Below are 12,857 nucleotides of genomic sequence, written 5' to 3' on the forward strand. Positions count from 1 at the left end.
CATGACCCTTTTATTTTGGAAACATGTGTTCCTTAGGCTTGGAGGAAGATTTTTCTTTTATTATTTCTTTGATACTTTCCCTCCTCCATTTCCCTTCTTATCATTTTCTACAGCACTAATTATTTGGATTTTGAATCACTTGGACTGATCCTTTTTTTAGTTAATTTTCTATTTGTTTTTCCTTTTTTTCCTGCATTCTTTGAAATTTTTTCAGCTTAGCAAGAGTGAATAATTTTTTTACTTGAGCTAAAATATTTTTATATTTATTATATATGTGTATACATGTATACATGAGTGTATATGTTACATATATATTTAATTTCTAAGAATTCCTCATTTTTTCTTTTTGTCTTCTAAATAGTATTCTGCTGTTGTTTCCTTTTTAAACAATTTCTTTTTTTCTCTACAGTTATCAATTGTAGATTTAATTTTTTAAAAGTTTTTCTGCTGCTGCATGCATTGCTCCTAAGTACTTTAGAAAATATTTGTTTGTTTTTTTCTCTGTCTTTTATGATAGAGGCTCTCCTCAACTGCTTGGTGATCTTTGGTCAGCCACTCATACTGAAGAGTGAGGCACAACAAATCTGACCGGAGCATGAGAGGGTAGCCTTTATTATCAAGTTATAGGGTGAGGACCTTGCCATTTTATTGCAGGATCATTAAGGTATGTCTATAGACCTCCTCATGCTCACTCCCTATACCTTGGACTGTTCAGTTCCCCTAAAGAATCCTTTAATCACTTACCAGGAATGGGGAAACGGATGGGTATAATAAGCCTGGCTGCTATGATTCTGAGGACTAATCAAGAATGGAAAGGGGCTGAGTATCTCACTGTTTGGTTTGCAGAATTTTGTATATATCCCTTGGTCTTTAATACAATAATTCATTTATTCCTTCAGCAGTGCCTAGTATCCACTGTATCCAGGCTTTCTGTGGTGAAATCTTTCCAGAGAGTATATCATCTAATATCTGCTTGACAGTAGGTGCGGGGTGAGGTTGGGGCTGTTGTTTGACTCATGACAAGAGAGGAACATATGGGGTTGTTGCTCTTTACATAGACTTTCAATCGATTCTCCTATTTTCGGTTCCAAGGCAAAACCTGCCTTACGAGGTACTAGGTGTTTCCATTTCCTGGAATCCTCTAAGATTCTGTGAGGTAATTGATTTGCCTCTTGCTGGTATCTGCACCTCCCTCTATTTACATAGAAGTACTAAGTTTTGGTGAAGTCAAATTCTATTTATCTCTCTTTATTTAGAGTGTGTACTTTTTGTATCTCATTTAAGACAGGTTTCCTATTCTAAGTGATTAAAGTAATTTCCTTCATTTTCTTCTAATAGTTTTATATTTTTTATTCACTTTTATTATTAATGTAGGTCTTTAGCTGGAAATCTTTTTGTTTATGGTATGAATAGAAATCTCATTTTTTCATTATGTAGATCCAATTGTCCTAACTTGAATTGTTTGATAGTCCTTTTCCCCTGCTGATTTGCAATTTGCCGTTTTATTATTCCATGATTCCATAGATAGATAGGTCTGTTTTTTTGTTCTTTATTCACTTTCATTGAGACAAGATACCCTGTGAAATTTTGAAGAACTTGTTTTGAATTTACAGATTACTTTGAAAAAAGGTAATATTGTCTTGATTGAATTTATTAATTAACATGGTCCATTTTTCCATTTATTCAGTTATTCTTTCTTTAGTAATATTTTATTATAACTATAAAGAATAACTGTAATTATAATTATTATAATTTTAGATTATATTTTGCCATTTTATGATTTAACCTTAATATCTTAAACACTTTGTTATATTGATTTTGAAATTTTTTATTATACTTGATGCATGGTGAGTGGTATTTTCCTTCTATTATGTGTTTGATTTTTCCTGTTTTCTTCACTGATGTGTCCCTGGCCTATAATAATGCTTGACACATTGTAGGTTATCAACAAATATTTGTTGACTTAATAAATAAATACGTAGTTACTCCCAATTTAAAGCAATAATAGTGGTTCAGTCTGGCCTCTCTAAATTCCAATTTTTAGATATTGATGTTTTAATCTTTGTTATTTCCTTTTGTCTTTTTATTTTTACCTTCTAAATAGTTTATCTCTTGGGAAGAATATATAGCTGAGTTTTCTAACTAGTGATTTTAGCCAATTATATTTTCTGATAATGAACATATTTGGAATTGTATTTGCCAACTTATTTTGTGTTTTGTACTTTTTATTCTCCCTTATTGTTTTTTCTCCTTTCCAATATTCTGTTGAATTGATTGATTTTTTGAAACTCTTTCTTTTTCTCTTTTGATTTGTATGTTACAATTTTAATTTATATAGCTTTTAACATACATACTTATATTTATGTTTGATTTGGTATCAGATTTTAAAGTTATTTGTGTCTAGTGTCTTTAGTTCTCACTGTACAAAACATAGGTTTCAGTATGCTTTCACTTTCTTTTACTTTTTCCCAGCCTTATCTAATGTCATAGTTATTTTTATGTGTTTAAAGAATGAACTGAAGTTATCAGGGTAACCTGGATGATGATATATACTTGACTTTGTGTCTAAACTACTCTTTCTTTGAGGGGTAGCCTTTTTTCTTTTTTTCTTTTTTCTTGACTGTGTATTCAAGGTTTATTTTTGTGATGCTTTGCTAATGTACTGATTGGTACATATATTCATTTAATATAATGTGGTTAACAGTGCCTAGAACAGAGTACATTGATCAATAAGTCCAGCTCCCTGCCTTTAAAAAATGTTGTCTAACACATTCTTTTAAGTGTGTAAAAAAAATGAACTCAAACATATAAGGATATAATTAAATTTTCAGGAATATATTTCTGAAAGGTTTTACATTTTCTTATCAAAATAAAAATATTTTGATGTTGTTTAGGAATAGCTCGAATAAAATTTAAAACAATAAAAACATAAAGTTGAGTAGTTGTCCTTCCTCAATTGTCTTTGTAAAAGTTTTAAAAATGGCAGATCAATTTGCACATTTGAGAACTTGCTTCATAGCTATTCACTTTTCAGTAGGCATGGCTCCTAATACACAATTTTAGGTCTCAGTGGTTCTGAGACTGTAACTGATTAATTCATGGGTAGGCATCCTGGGTGGGCCAATCTGGGTTTTTCTCCTAAAGAAATGCAGTTTTAGTCAGGAGACAAACAGACTGAGGGTCTTGGGAACAATATTGTTATAGATTCCGGGAGGAAAGATGATGGGAATCCAACTGGTGAGGATGTTTGAGCCCCTCTGACTCTTCCTTTCTGTAGTCTTGGCAGTCTGACTCATTCTTTCAAAACTTTATGCCCCCTCCCCGAAATCAGTGGTTCCCAACCTTTTTGGCACCATGGACCGGTTTCGTGGAAGAAAGATAATTTTTCCACGGATGAGCGTGCAGTGAGGTGGTGGGGGATGGTTTCAGCATGAAACTGTTCCACCTCAGATCACTAGGCATTAGAGTCTTATTAAGGAGAGTGCAACCTAGATGCCTCGCATGCCTGTTCACAATAGGGTTTGTGTTCCTATGAGAATCTAATGCAACTATTGACTAGCAGGAAGCAGAGCTCAGGTGGTAATGCTCTCTCCCCTGCTGCTCACCTCCTGCTGTGCCACCAGGTTCCTGACAGGCCAGGGACCAGTACCTGTCCACAAGCCTGGGGTCTGGGGACCCTGGGGGAACCCTGCCCTAAATCCAATTCTGTTCATACTAACAACACCACCACCACCACAACAATAACAAAAAATACCCCACAAATAAATGGAAAGCAATAAAAAATATAAACTAATCATATGTTAAATCTACTTTTTCCACCTCTGTTTTTTAAGAAAAATAAATATTGGTAGCTGTTACTCTTAATTACATGATTTACTACTATAACAAAAATATTCTATTTATTTATTTAAAAAATTATTTGGGTGCATAGCTCTTGGAATGTATTAGTAATGTAAACAGAAAACATTTTAACTCACAAAATTCACATTCAGGGGTATGTGTGCACATACATACATACAGGGTTAGTTGCAGATACAGATGTCATATGATAACATAATTAAGTTAATGATATTGTATGTGAAGAGGTGATCTTACATGCTATGGAAAAAGATTATATAAAGCAGGGCTAGGAGTATTGGAAATGGAGGGGAATGTGTTGAAATTTACATAGGGTGATCAAGAGTAGGTCTTATTGAGAAGGTGGCATTTGTGACTTAAAGGAAATGAGAGAGCCATGGAGATATGTGAAGGAAAAGCAGCATTTCCAATAGAGGCAACAGCCAGAGCGAAAGACCTCAGGCAGTAATCTTATATATTTGAGGATGGGAAAGAAAGCTGCTGTGCTTGAAACAGATAAAGTGAAGGGAGAGAAGTAAGAGATAATGTCAGAGAGAGAAGAGGAAAGAGGACAAATGATATAGTGGCTGGTGGTCATTGTAGGGACTTTTCCTTTTATTCTGATTGAAACAGGAAGCCAGGGCAGGGTTTTGCACAGAGGAGAGACATGAACTAACTTATGATGTGTGTGTGGGAGAGTTGGGGTAATGGTGTAAGCCGAAGTAGAAACAAGGAGATATTGTGGAGCTCTTGTAATCCAGACATGAAATGATGGTAGCTTTGACCTGGGGGAAGGAGTGAAGATGGTGAGAGGTGACCTGGATAGAGTTTGGATATAGATTCTGAGTATGGAAGTTTGAAAGTAGAGCTAACATGATTAGCTGTAAAGAATCAGAGAAATGAGTCAAGGATAACACCAAAGTTTTGGCCTGAGCAACAGAAAAGATAGAGTCACCTATAATTGACTTGGGAAAGACTGGTGGGGGACGCAGTTTGGGTTTTATAAAGGAGTTTGATTTTAGACATGTTGAGTATGAGATGTGTATTAGACATCTATTAAAATTTGCAATTCCAGAGAGAAGTTTGTATTCAAGATAGAAGTCTAGTATTAGAGATAGATTCTTTGGTATTGACACAGATTTTAAAGCCATGACTGGATTATCCCCAAAAGAGTGAATGCAGATAAGGAAGAGGAGCAGGAGGAGTGGATTCCATTTCCAGGATCTGATTTATAAACAATGTGGGGGACTCTCTGAAATAATTATGAATATAAAATTAGGGCAACAGTAAATAATGGAAAAAAGAAAAAAGCAGGTTGTATATTTTAAAAAGCTGAGAAATATAAAAATATTACCAAGTTTGGAAAAATGACAGTATTTTAATTAATTTACTGACAAAGCACTCTAACATTTTTCCTTACTGTTTTAGGCTGTCTTCTCAACCACTCTCTTTTTTCTTTTTCTGAGACGGAGTCTCATTCTGTAGCCAGACTGGAGTTCAATGGCGTGATCTCAACTCACTTCATCCTCCGCCTCCTGGGTTCAAGCGATTCTCCTCCCTCAGACTCCCTAGTAGCTGGGACTACAGGCACGCACCACCACACCCAGCTAATTTTTGTATTTTTAGTAGAGACGGGGTTTCACCATGTTGGCTAGGATGGTCTCGATCTCTTGACCTTGTGATCCAGCCGCCTCGGCCTCCCAGAGTGCTGGGATTACAGGTGTGAGCCACAATACCGGGCCTACTTATACCACTATGACAATAATTTACAAATGTTTTCATAGAAAATAGAAATAATTTCTCAAAAAACATTTTTTATCACTGATTAGTGGGATGCACAAGATGCAAGATTTTATCCACAGACAAACTCACTGTTAATACTGATACAGGTTTATACCCTACAAACAGAAGTTCTACTACATTTGATTACATTTTATTACCATCAAAAATGAAAGAAATTTTACATTTACAATTGACATACTGCATTACCAAGTGTGTTACTGACAGAAAAAAAATTTCCTTTTTTTTTTTTAGATGGAGTCTCACTCTGTCGGCCAAGCTGGAATGCAGTGGAGTGATCTCGGTTCACTGCAGCCTCTGCCTCCTGGGTCCAAGCAATTCTCGTGCCTCAGCCTCCCAAGTAGCTGGGACTACAGGCATGTACCACCACGCCCAGCTAATTTTTGTATTTTTAGTAGAGACAGGGTTTCACCATGTTCTCCAGGCTGGTCTTGAACTCCTGACCTCAGGTGATCCACCTGCCTCAGCCTCCCAAATTGCTGGGTTACAGGTGTGAGCCACCATGCCCAGCCAAAAATTTTCACTTTGATTAGGTATTAATTTCACATGTTTGAAGATTGGAAGAATTTTTTTTAGATTAGTTTATGGATCCATATATTTTAAATCATTTTTTCCTTCTACTACATATATAGTCTCAGGTGCCTCACAACACATTCACAATGCAACTCAACCTCTGGCACGTGAGTAGTTGGAGTACTGTTTAAAGCCAGCTCTTTTATGAGGTAGCTAGCATTACCTTAATACATGGAAATGACAAAACCACATAAAAATACCCTATAAAACCTTGGTTGCATTTGGCCGCATCCCCAACATGACTGCTGCTACTCTAGTAGCACCTGGATGTAAGGAAATGTGATAGAAAGAAGTGAAAAGGAGGAAAAAGTAGTCTTAACCAATTACAATTTGAAAGCATGAACAGATTTTGGGGGCTTTCCTAGACCCTTGAAATGGGCCCATGCAGTGGAGGATTGCTGAAACTAAAATTAAACATCATTAGCTTCACTGTAAATCCTCCTCTGGGAGGCAATTAAAGACTAAGTCCTGAAGCACTTCAATATAAAGAGTTTGAGAATGAAAAGTGACCACAACAGAGATTGAGAAGGAATGGGAGTGATTTGTGCAGTAGGAGGAAACTCAAGAAAAATACAGGCTTTCAGAAACTGTGAAAAATAATGTATCAAGGAGAATGCTATCAACTATAGGAAAAAGGATGAGGACTGAAAATTGATCATTGGATTTAGCAACATGGAGGTCATTTGTGACAATAGCCAGAGAAGATTTAGTGAATCGATGAAGTCAAAGCCTTAAGGGATGAGTTTAAAGAGAATTAGGGTGAGAACAGAGGTAAGCAAAAAATACAGATAACTATTTCAAAAAATTTTTCTACAAAGGGGATCCAAGATATGGAAATATAAGTAGCAAGGGTAGTGGGGTCAAGAAGAATATATATATGTATGTGTATATATATCCAGGTGGGCATGAATCAGCAGAGGATGAAATGCTGATGATATAGGAGAGAGGCAAGGGAATCTAGTGCAAAAATGGAAGATTTGGCTTTAGGTAGTTTCATCTATAATTCATCTATGGCAACAGAAGAAAGGGCCTAGTATGTGAGTGCAAGTGTTAGCAGACAGTGGAATCCATGGAAGTTCTTTTCTGATTGCTCTAATTTTCTCAGTATGGAGGAAGCAGAGTCATCAGCTTCCTACTGGGAATAGAGATAAAATAGAAGCTGTTTGAGGTGTGAGGAGAAAGGTGTGGATTATCATGTAGGGGAGTGAAAAAGTGGATAGATTAGGGAAGTTCAGTAGAATTTCTGGTAGCATTAGCAGCTCACCCTTATCTGTGTTTATTAATTCAACATATCTTCCCACATGATTGTGAGATTTTCTATAGTCATGGTTACCTGTACAGGTACAGGAGTGAAAAGAGTTGGATTTGTCTGTGCTATCAAGTGCAAAAATAAGCATGCAGATAGTGTGTTCTATAGAAATTCACAGATCCTGGTGGGATGGCCTTTACCGTGTGAGTGAATGCAGTGGTTTGAATGTGCCCTCCAAAGTTTATGGGTTGGAAACTTAACCCACACTACAGCAGTGTTGAAAGGTGGATCTTCAGGAAGTAATTAAGTCATGAGGACTCTGCCCTCATGAATGGACTAATGTTATTGCAGGAATGGGTTCCTGATAGAAGGCGGGGTTCAGTCTACTCCCCCCAGTAACTCCCCACATGCTCTATTGTCCTTCTGCCTTCTGCCGTGAGTGATGCAGCAAGAAGGCCCTTGTCAGATGTGGGCCCCTCAACCTTGGACTTCCCAGACTCCAGAACTGTAAGATAGAAATTTTTGTTCTTTATAAATTGCCCATTCTTTGGTATTATGTTATAGCAGCACAAAGCAGACTAAGTGAATTTTGAATGAACGTTTGAAAGAGAAGAATTGCTGAATCCAGGAGAGACAGATAATCTATCTTTGAAGTGAATTAAGTAATTTAAGTAATTTTCTAGGCAATGACAGACTTATAGTTTTGATGACTCAAACATTTATAAATACCATGAATATGAAATTGTCTGTTCCCAAGAGATCTGGTGAGTTTGTCTTTTGTTACTTACTTACTGGGAAGTATTTTAGTACCTCTTTTCATCTAAATTTCATGTTAACTCTCCTCTGAAGCAAAAACAGTGCTTCCAGAGCTCTCTCTGCCACCATTTATTGTGTATATTTTGTTTCTTGGCTTTTATCCTGTCTTTACAATTTTTTACCCTGAGGGTTGAGAAAATACAGAATCAAGTCCAAAGCAATGTACTGTGCTGAACTACTTTCTACTCTCAACAGCATATAGCCCTTGAAAACACGGTGTAATTTCCGCCCTTATAATGGTCCTCTGAAAAGTAGTGAGGTAACCAGGGTAAAGGGCTCCGTAGACTCTTTGGTCCTTGTTAGCACTTGGGGTTCTCTTGGTTGGAGACTCCTCTACACAGTGAATATAAATCCTCTGTGCTAAATCTTGAGGCTAAAAATGTTGTCTCAAAGGAAGGGTCTTGGTTACCAATCTTGTTAAATGAATGAAGTTTGATGAATTTAGATGAGGAAAATAATTTGGATCTTCTTAAGGTTGTTCCAGGCTCTTTTCTACAATCTTGTGATACATTTGTAAAATCACTTATTTATTTTTATATCCTAGGCATAGAAAAGGAAAACATAGGTAAACTATTAGTTAGAAATCCATATCCTTAATCCAGTATAATTTACAAATTCAGAAAGTAACATATTCTAGAAAAAGACTATAATTTGTTTCCTTGTCAGTATTTAAATACATCTCCTTCTCAACTTCAAGCATCACTTAACCCTCCTTTGACAAATAATATATGTTCCACAGTCAATACTACCTCATTTAGACTGAGGAAACAAGCTCTACCAGTGTCATTTGCTTTAGGATAGAGTCTTACACAAAGCTTTCCAGTATTTGATAAATTGATCCTTTGGATCCAAGGGACAGGAAATCCATGTGGTCATACACTCTCCTGATAGTTGTTAGGCTTGTGAAAACAGCCAGATTCTGAGAGACGGTGTTCTGTTCCTAGTATGAATTTTTGAGCTATATATTCTCTGTGGTGTGTGTGTGTGTGTGTGTGTGTGTGTGTGTGTGTGTAAGGAGCAAGGAGAAGATAGGTTTATCAAAGAACAGTAAACTGACAATAACATTGATTATTTTCAAATTGAAACATAACTTATTAGTTGGTTTATTTGAAAAAATAAAAGCCTAAAATAAACAAAATCAGTGTATCATACATTGGAAAGGTGAGAGTATTTGATATGGCTTGGATCTGTGTCTCCACCAAATTTCATGTTGAATTGTAATGCCCAATGTTAGAAGTAGAGCTTGTTGGGAGGTGTTTGGGTCATGGGAACTGTGATAGTTAATACTGAGTGTCAAGTTGATTGGATTGAAGGATGGAAAGTATTGATCCTGGGTGTGTCTGTAAGGGTGTTGCCAAAGGAGATTAACATTTGAGTCAGTGGGCTGGGAAAGGCATACCCACCCTTAATCTAGGTGGGCACAATCTAATCAGCTGCCAGCATGACCAGAATAAAAGTAGGCAGAAAAATGTGGAGATATTAGACTGTTGTAGCCTCCCAGACTACATCTTTCTCCTGTGCTGGATATTTCCTGCCCTTGAACACTGAACTCCTAATTCTTCAGCTTTGGGACTCAGACTGGCTCCTTTGCTCCTCAGCTTGCAGATGGCTTATTGTGAGATCTTGTGATCCTGTGAGTTAATATTCCTTAATAAACTCCCCTTTAATATACATCTATCCTATTAGTTCTGTCCCTCTAGAGAACCCTGACTAATCTAGGCGCAGATCCCTCATGGCTTGGTGCTGTCTCCATGGTGGTGAGTTCTCAAGAGATCTGCTTGTTGTAAAGTGTAGCACCTCCCCTACCCTCTCTTGCTCGTGCTTTCACCAAGTGAAGTGCCTGCTCCATGAGCAAAAACCCCCTGAGGCCTCTCTAGAGGAGATGCCACTGTGTTTCCTATGCAGCCTGCAGAACCATGAGCCAATGAAACCTCTTTTCTTATAAATTACCCAATCTCAGGTATGTCTTTATAGCAATACAGGAATGGCCAAAAACAGAAAATTGGTACTGAGGAGCGGAGCATTGCTATAAAGGTATCTGAAAATGTAGAAGCAGCTTTTGAACTGGTAACAGGTAGAGGTTGGAAGCATATGGAGGGCTCAGAAGAAGATAGGAAGATGAGGGAAAGTTTGGAACTGCTTAGAGACTGGTTAAATGGTTGTAACCAAAATACTGATAGTGATATGGACACTGAAGTCCAGGCCTCGGAGGCCTCGGATGGAAATGAGGAACTTACTAGGAACTGGAGCGAAGGTCACACATGTTATGCCTTAGTAAAGAGTTAGGCTGCATTCTGTTCATGCCCTAGGGATCTGTTGAAGTTTGAACTAAAGAGTAATGACTTAGGATATCTGGTGGAGGAAGTTTCTACGCAGCAAAGTGTTCAAGATGTGATCTTGCTGTGTCTAATCACCTATGATCAGATATGGGAGTAAAGGAATGGCTTAAAGTTTGAATTTATATTTATTAGAAAGCATAGCATAAAAGTCTGGAAAATTTGCAGCCTGGCCATGTGGCAGAGAAAGAAAATGCTTTTTTTTCCAGAGGCAAATTTAAGCAGGCTGTGGAGCAATCATTTTCTAGAGATATTGTGTAACTAAAAGGGATCCAAGTGCTAATATCCAAGACAATGGGGAAATGAACTTAAAGGCATATGGGAGACCATCACATCAGCCCCTCCCATCACAGGCCCAGAGGTCTAGGAGGGAAGAATGGTTTTATGGGACAAGCCTAGGGCCCCACTGCCCTACACAGCCCAGAGACACTGCTTCCTGCATCCCAGCCACTTCATCTCCAGCCTTGACTCAAAGAGCTTCAGATACTTCTTGTGCTGCCACTCTGGAGAGTACAAGGTGCCCTAAGCCTTGGTGGCTTCCATGTGATGTTAAGCCTGTGTGCACAGAAAGTGCAAGAGTGAATGAGGCCTGGCAACCTCTGCCTAGATTATAGAGGAGGTATGAAAAAGCCTGGGTGCTCAGGAAGAAGCCTGATGCAGGGGTGGAGCCCCCACAGAGAACAGAACCTCTATTAGAGCAGTGACAAGGGGAAATGTGGGGTTGGAATCCCCACACAGAGTCCCCAGTGGAACTCTCAGTGTAGCAAAGACACAGGGTCAGAGATTCCAAAGCCTTGGGAGCCCAAGCCTTGCACTAGTATGTCCTGGATGAAGGCTATGGAGTCAAAGGAGATTATTTTGGAGTTTATGATTTAATGAATGCCCTGCCAGGTTTTGAAATTGTTTGGGGGCTACAGCCCCTTTCTTTGGACTGATTTCTCACCGTTGGAATGACAATATTTTTCCAATGTCTGTACCCCCATTGTATCTCTGAAGTAAATAACCTTTTTTTTTATTTTACAGGCCCATAGGTAGAAGGGACTTGCCTTGTTTAGATGAGACTTTGGACTTTGGGATTTTGAGTTAATGCTGGAATGAGTTAAGTCTTTAGGGGACTGTTGGGAAGGCATGATTGTATTTTGCAGTGTGAGAAGAGCATGAGATTTGGACGGGCTGGGGTGGAGTGATATGGTTTGGATCTTTCTTCTCACCAACTCTCTTGTGGAACTGTAATCCCCAATGTTAAAGATGGGGCCAGGTGGGAGGTGTTTGGGAGATGGTGGTGGATCCCTCATGGCTTAATGTTGTCCTTCTGATAGTGAGTGAGTTCTCATGAGATCTTCCTGTAAAGTATGGCACCTCCTCCCACCCCCTTGCTTCTGCTTTCACCATGTGAAGTACCTGCTCCTGCCTCACTTTCTGTCATGAGTAAAAGCTCCCTGAGGCCTACCCAGAAGCAGACGCTGCTATGCTTCCTGTATACCCGACAAACTCACCAGCCAATTAAAGCTCTTTTCTTATAAAGTACCCAGTCTCAGGTGTTTATTCATAGCAATGCAAGAATGGCCTAATACAGTATTGTTGGAGGAATTTTTGTCTTAGCGCACATGCATTGGGTTGCACCATTATTTGTTTTTCTTACTATAGACTACAGTAAAAAATATTTGAAAATCATTGGCCTAAAGCAACTAAAGTCTCTTACAGAGTTTACCTCAAGGAGTTGTTAGAAGGTTCACATGTAAATGTTTACAATATGACAATAACTTTTTAATATAAAAAATACTTGGTAAGAAACTCAAAGATCAGATAGTTGTAGATATGCGGCAATATTTCTGAGGGCTCTGTTCTGTTCCATTGATCTATATCTCTGTTTTGGTACCATTACCATGTTGTTTTGGGTACTGTAACCTTGTAGTATAGTTTGAAGTCAGGTAGTGTGATGCCTCCAGCTTTGTTCTTTTGGCTTAGGATTGACTTGGTGATACGGGCTCTTTTTTGGTGCCATATGAACTTTAAAGTAGTTTTTTCCAATTCTGTGAAGAAAGTCATTGGTAGCTTGATGGGGATGGCATTGAATCTATAAATTACCTTGGGCAGTACGGCCATTTTCACAATATTGCTTCTTCCTACCCATGAGCATGGAATGTTCTTCCATTTGTTTGTATCCTCTTTTATTTCATTGAGCAGTGGTTTGTAGTTCTCCTTGAAGAGGTCCTTCACATCCCTTGTAAGTTGGATTCCTAGGT

The sequence above is a fragment of the Homo sapiens genome, chromosome 1 (assembly GCF_000001405.40).
Source record: "Homo sapiens chromosome 1, GRCh38.p14 Primary Assembly".
In the NCBI taxonomy this organism is placed as follows: domain Eukaryota; kingdom Metazoa; phylum Chordata; class Mammalia; order Primates; family Hominidae; genus Homo; species Homo sapiens.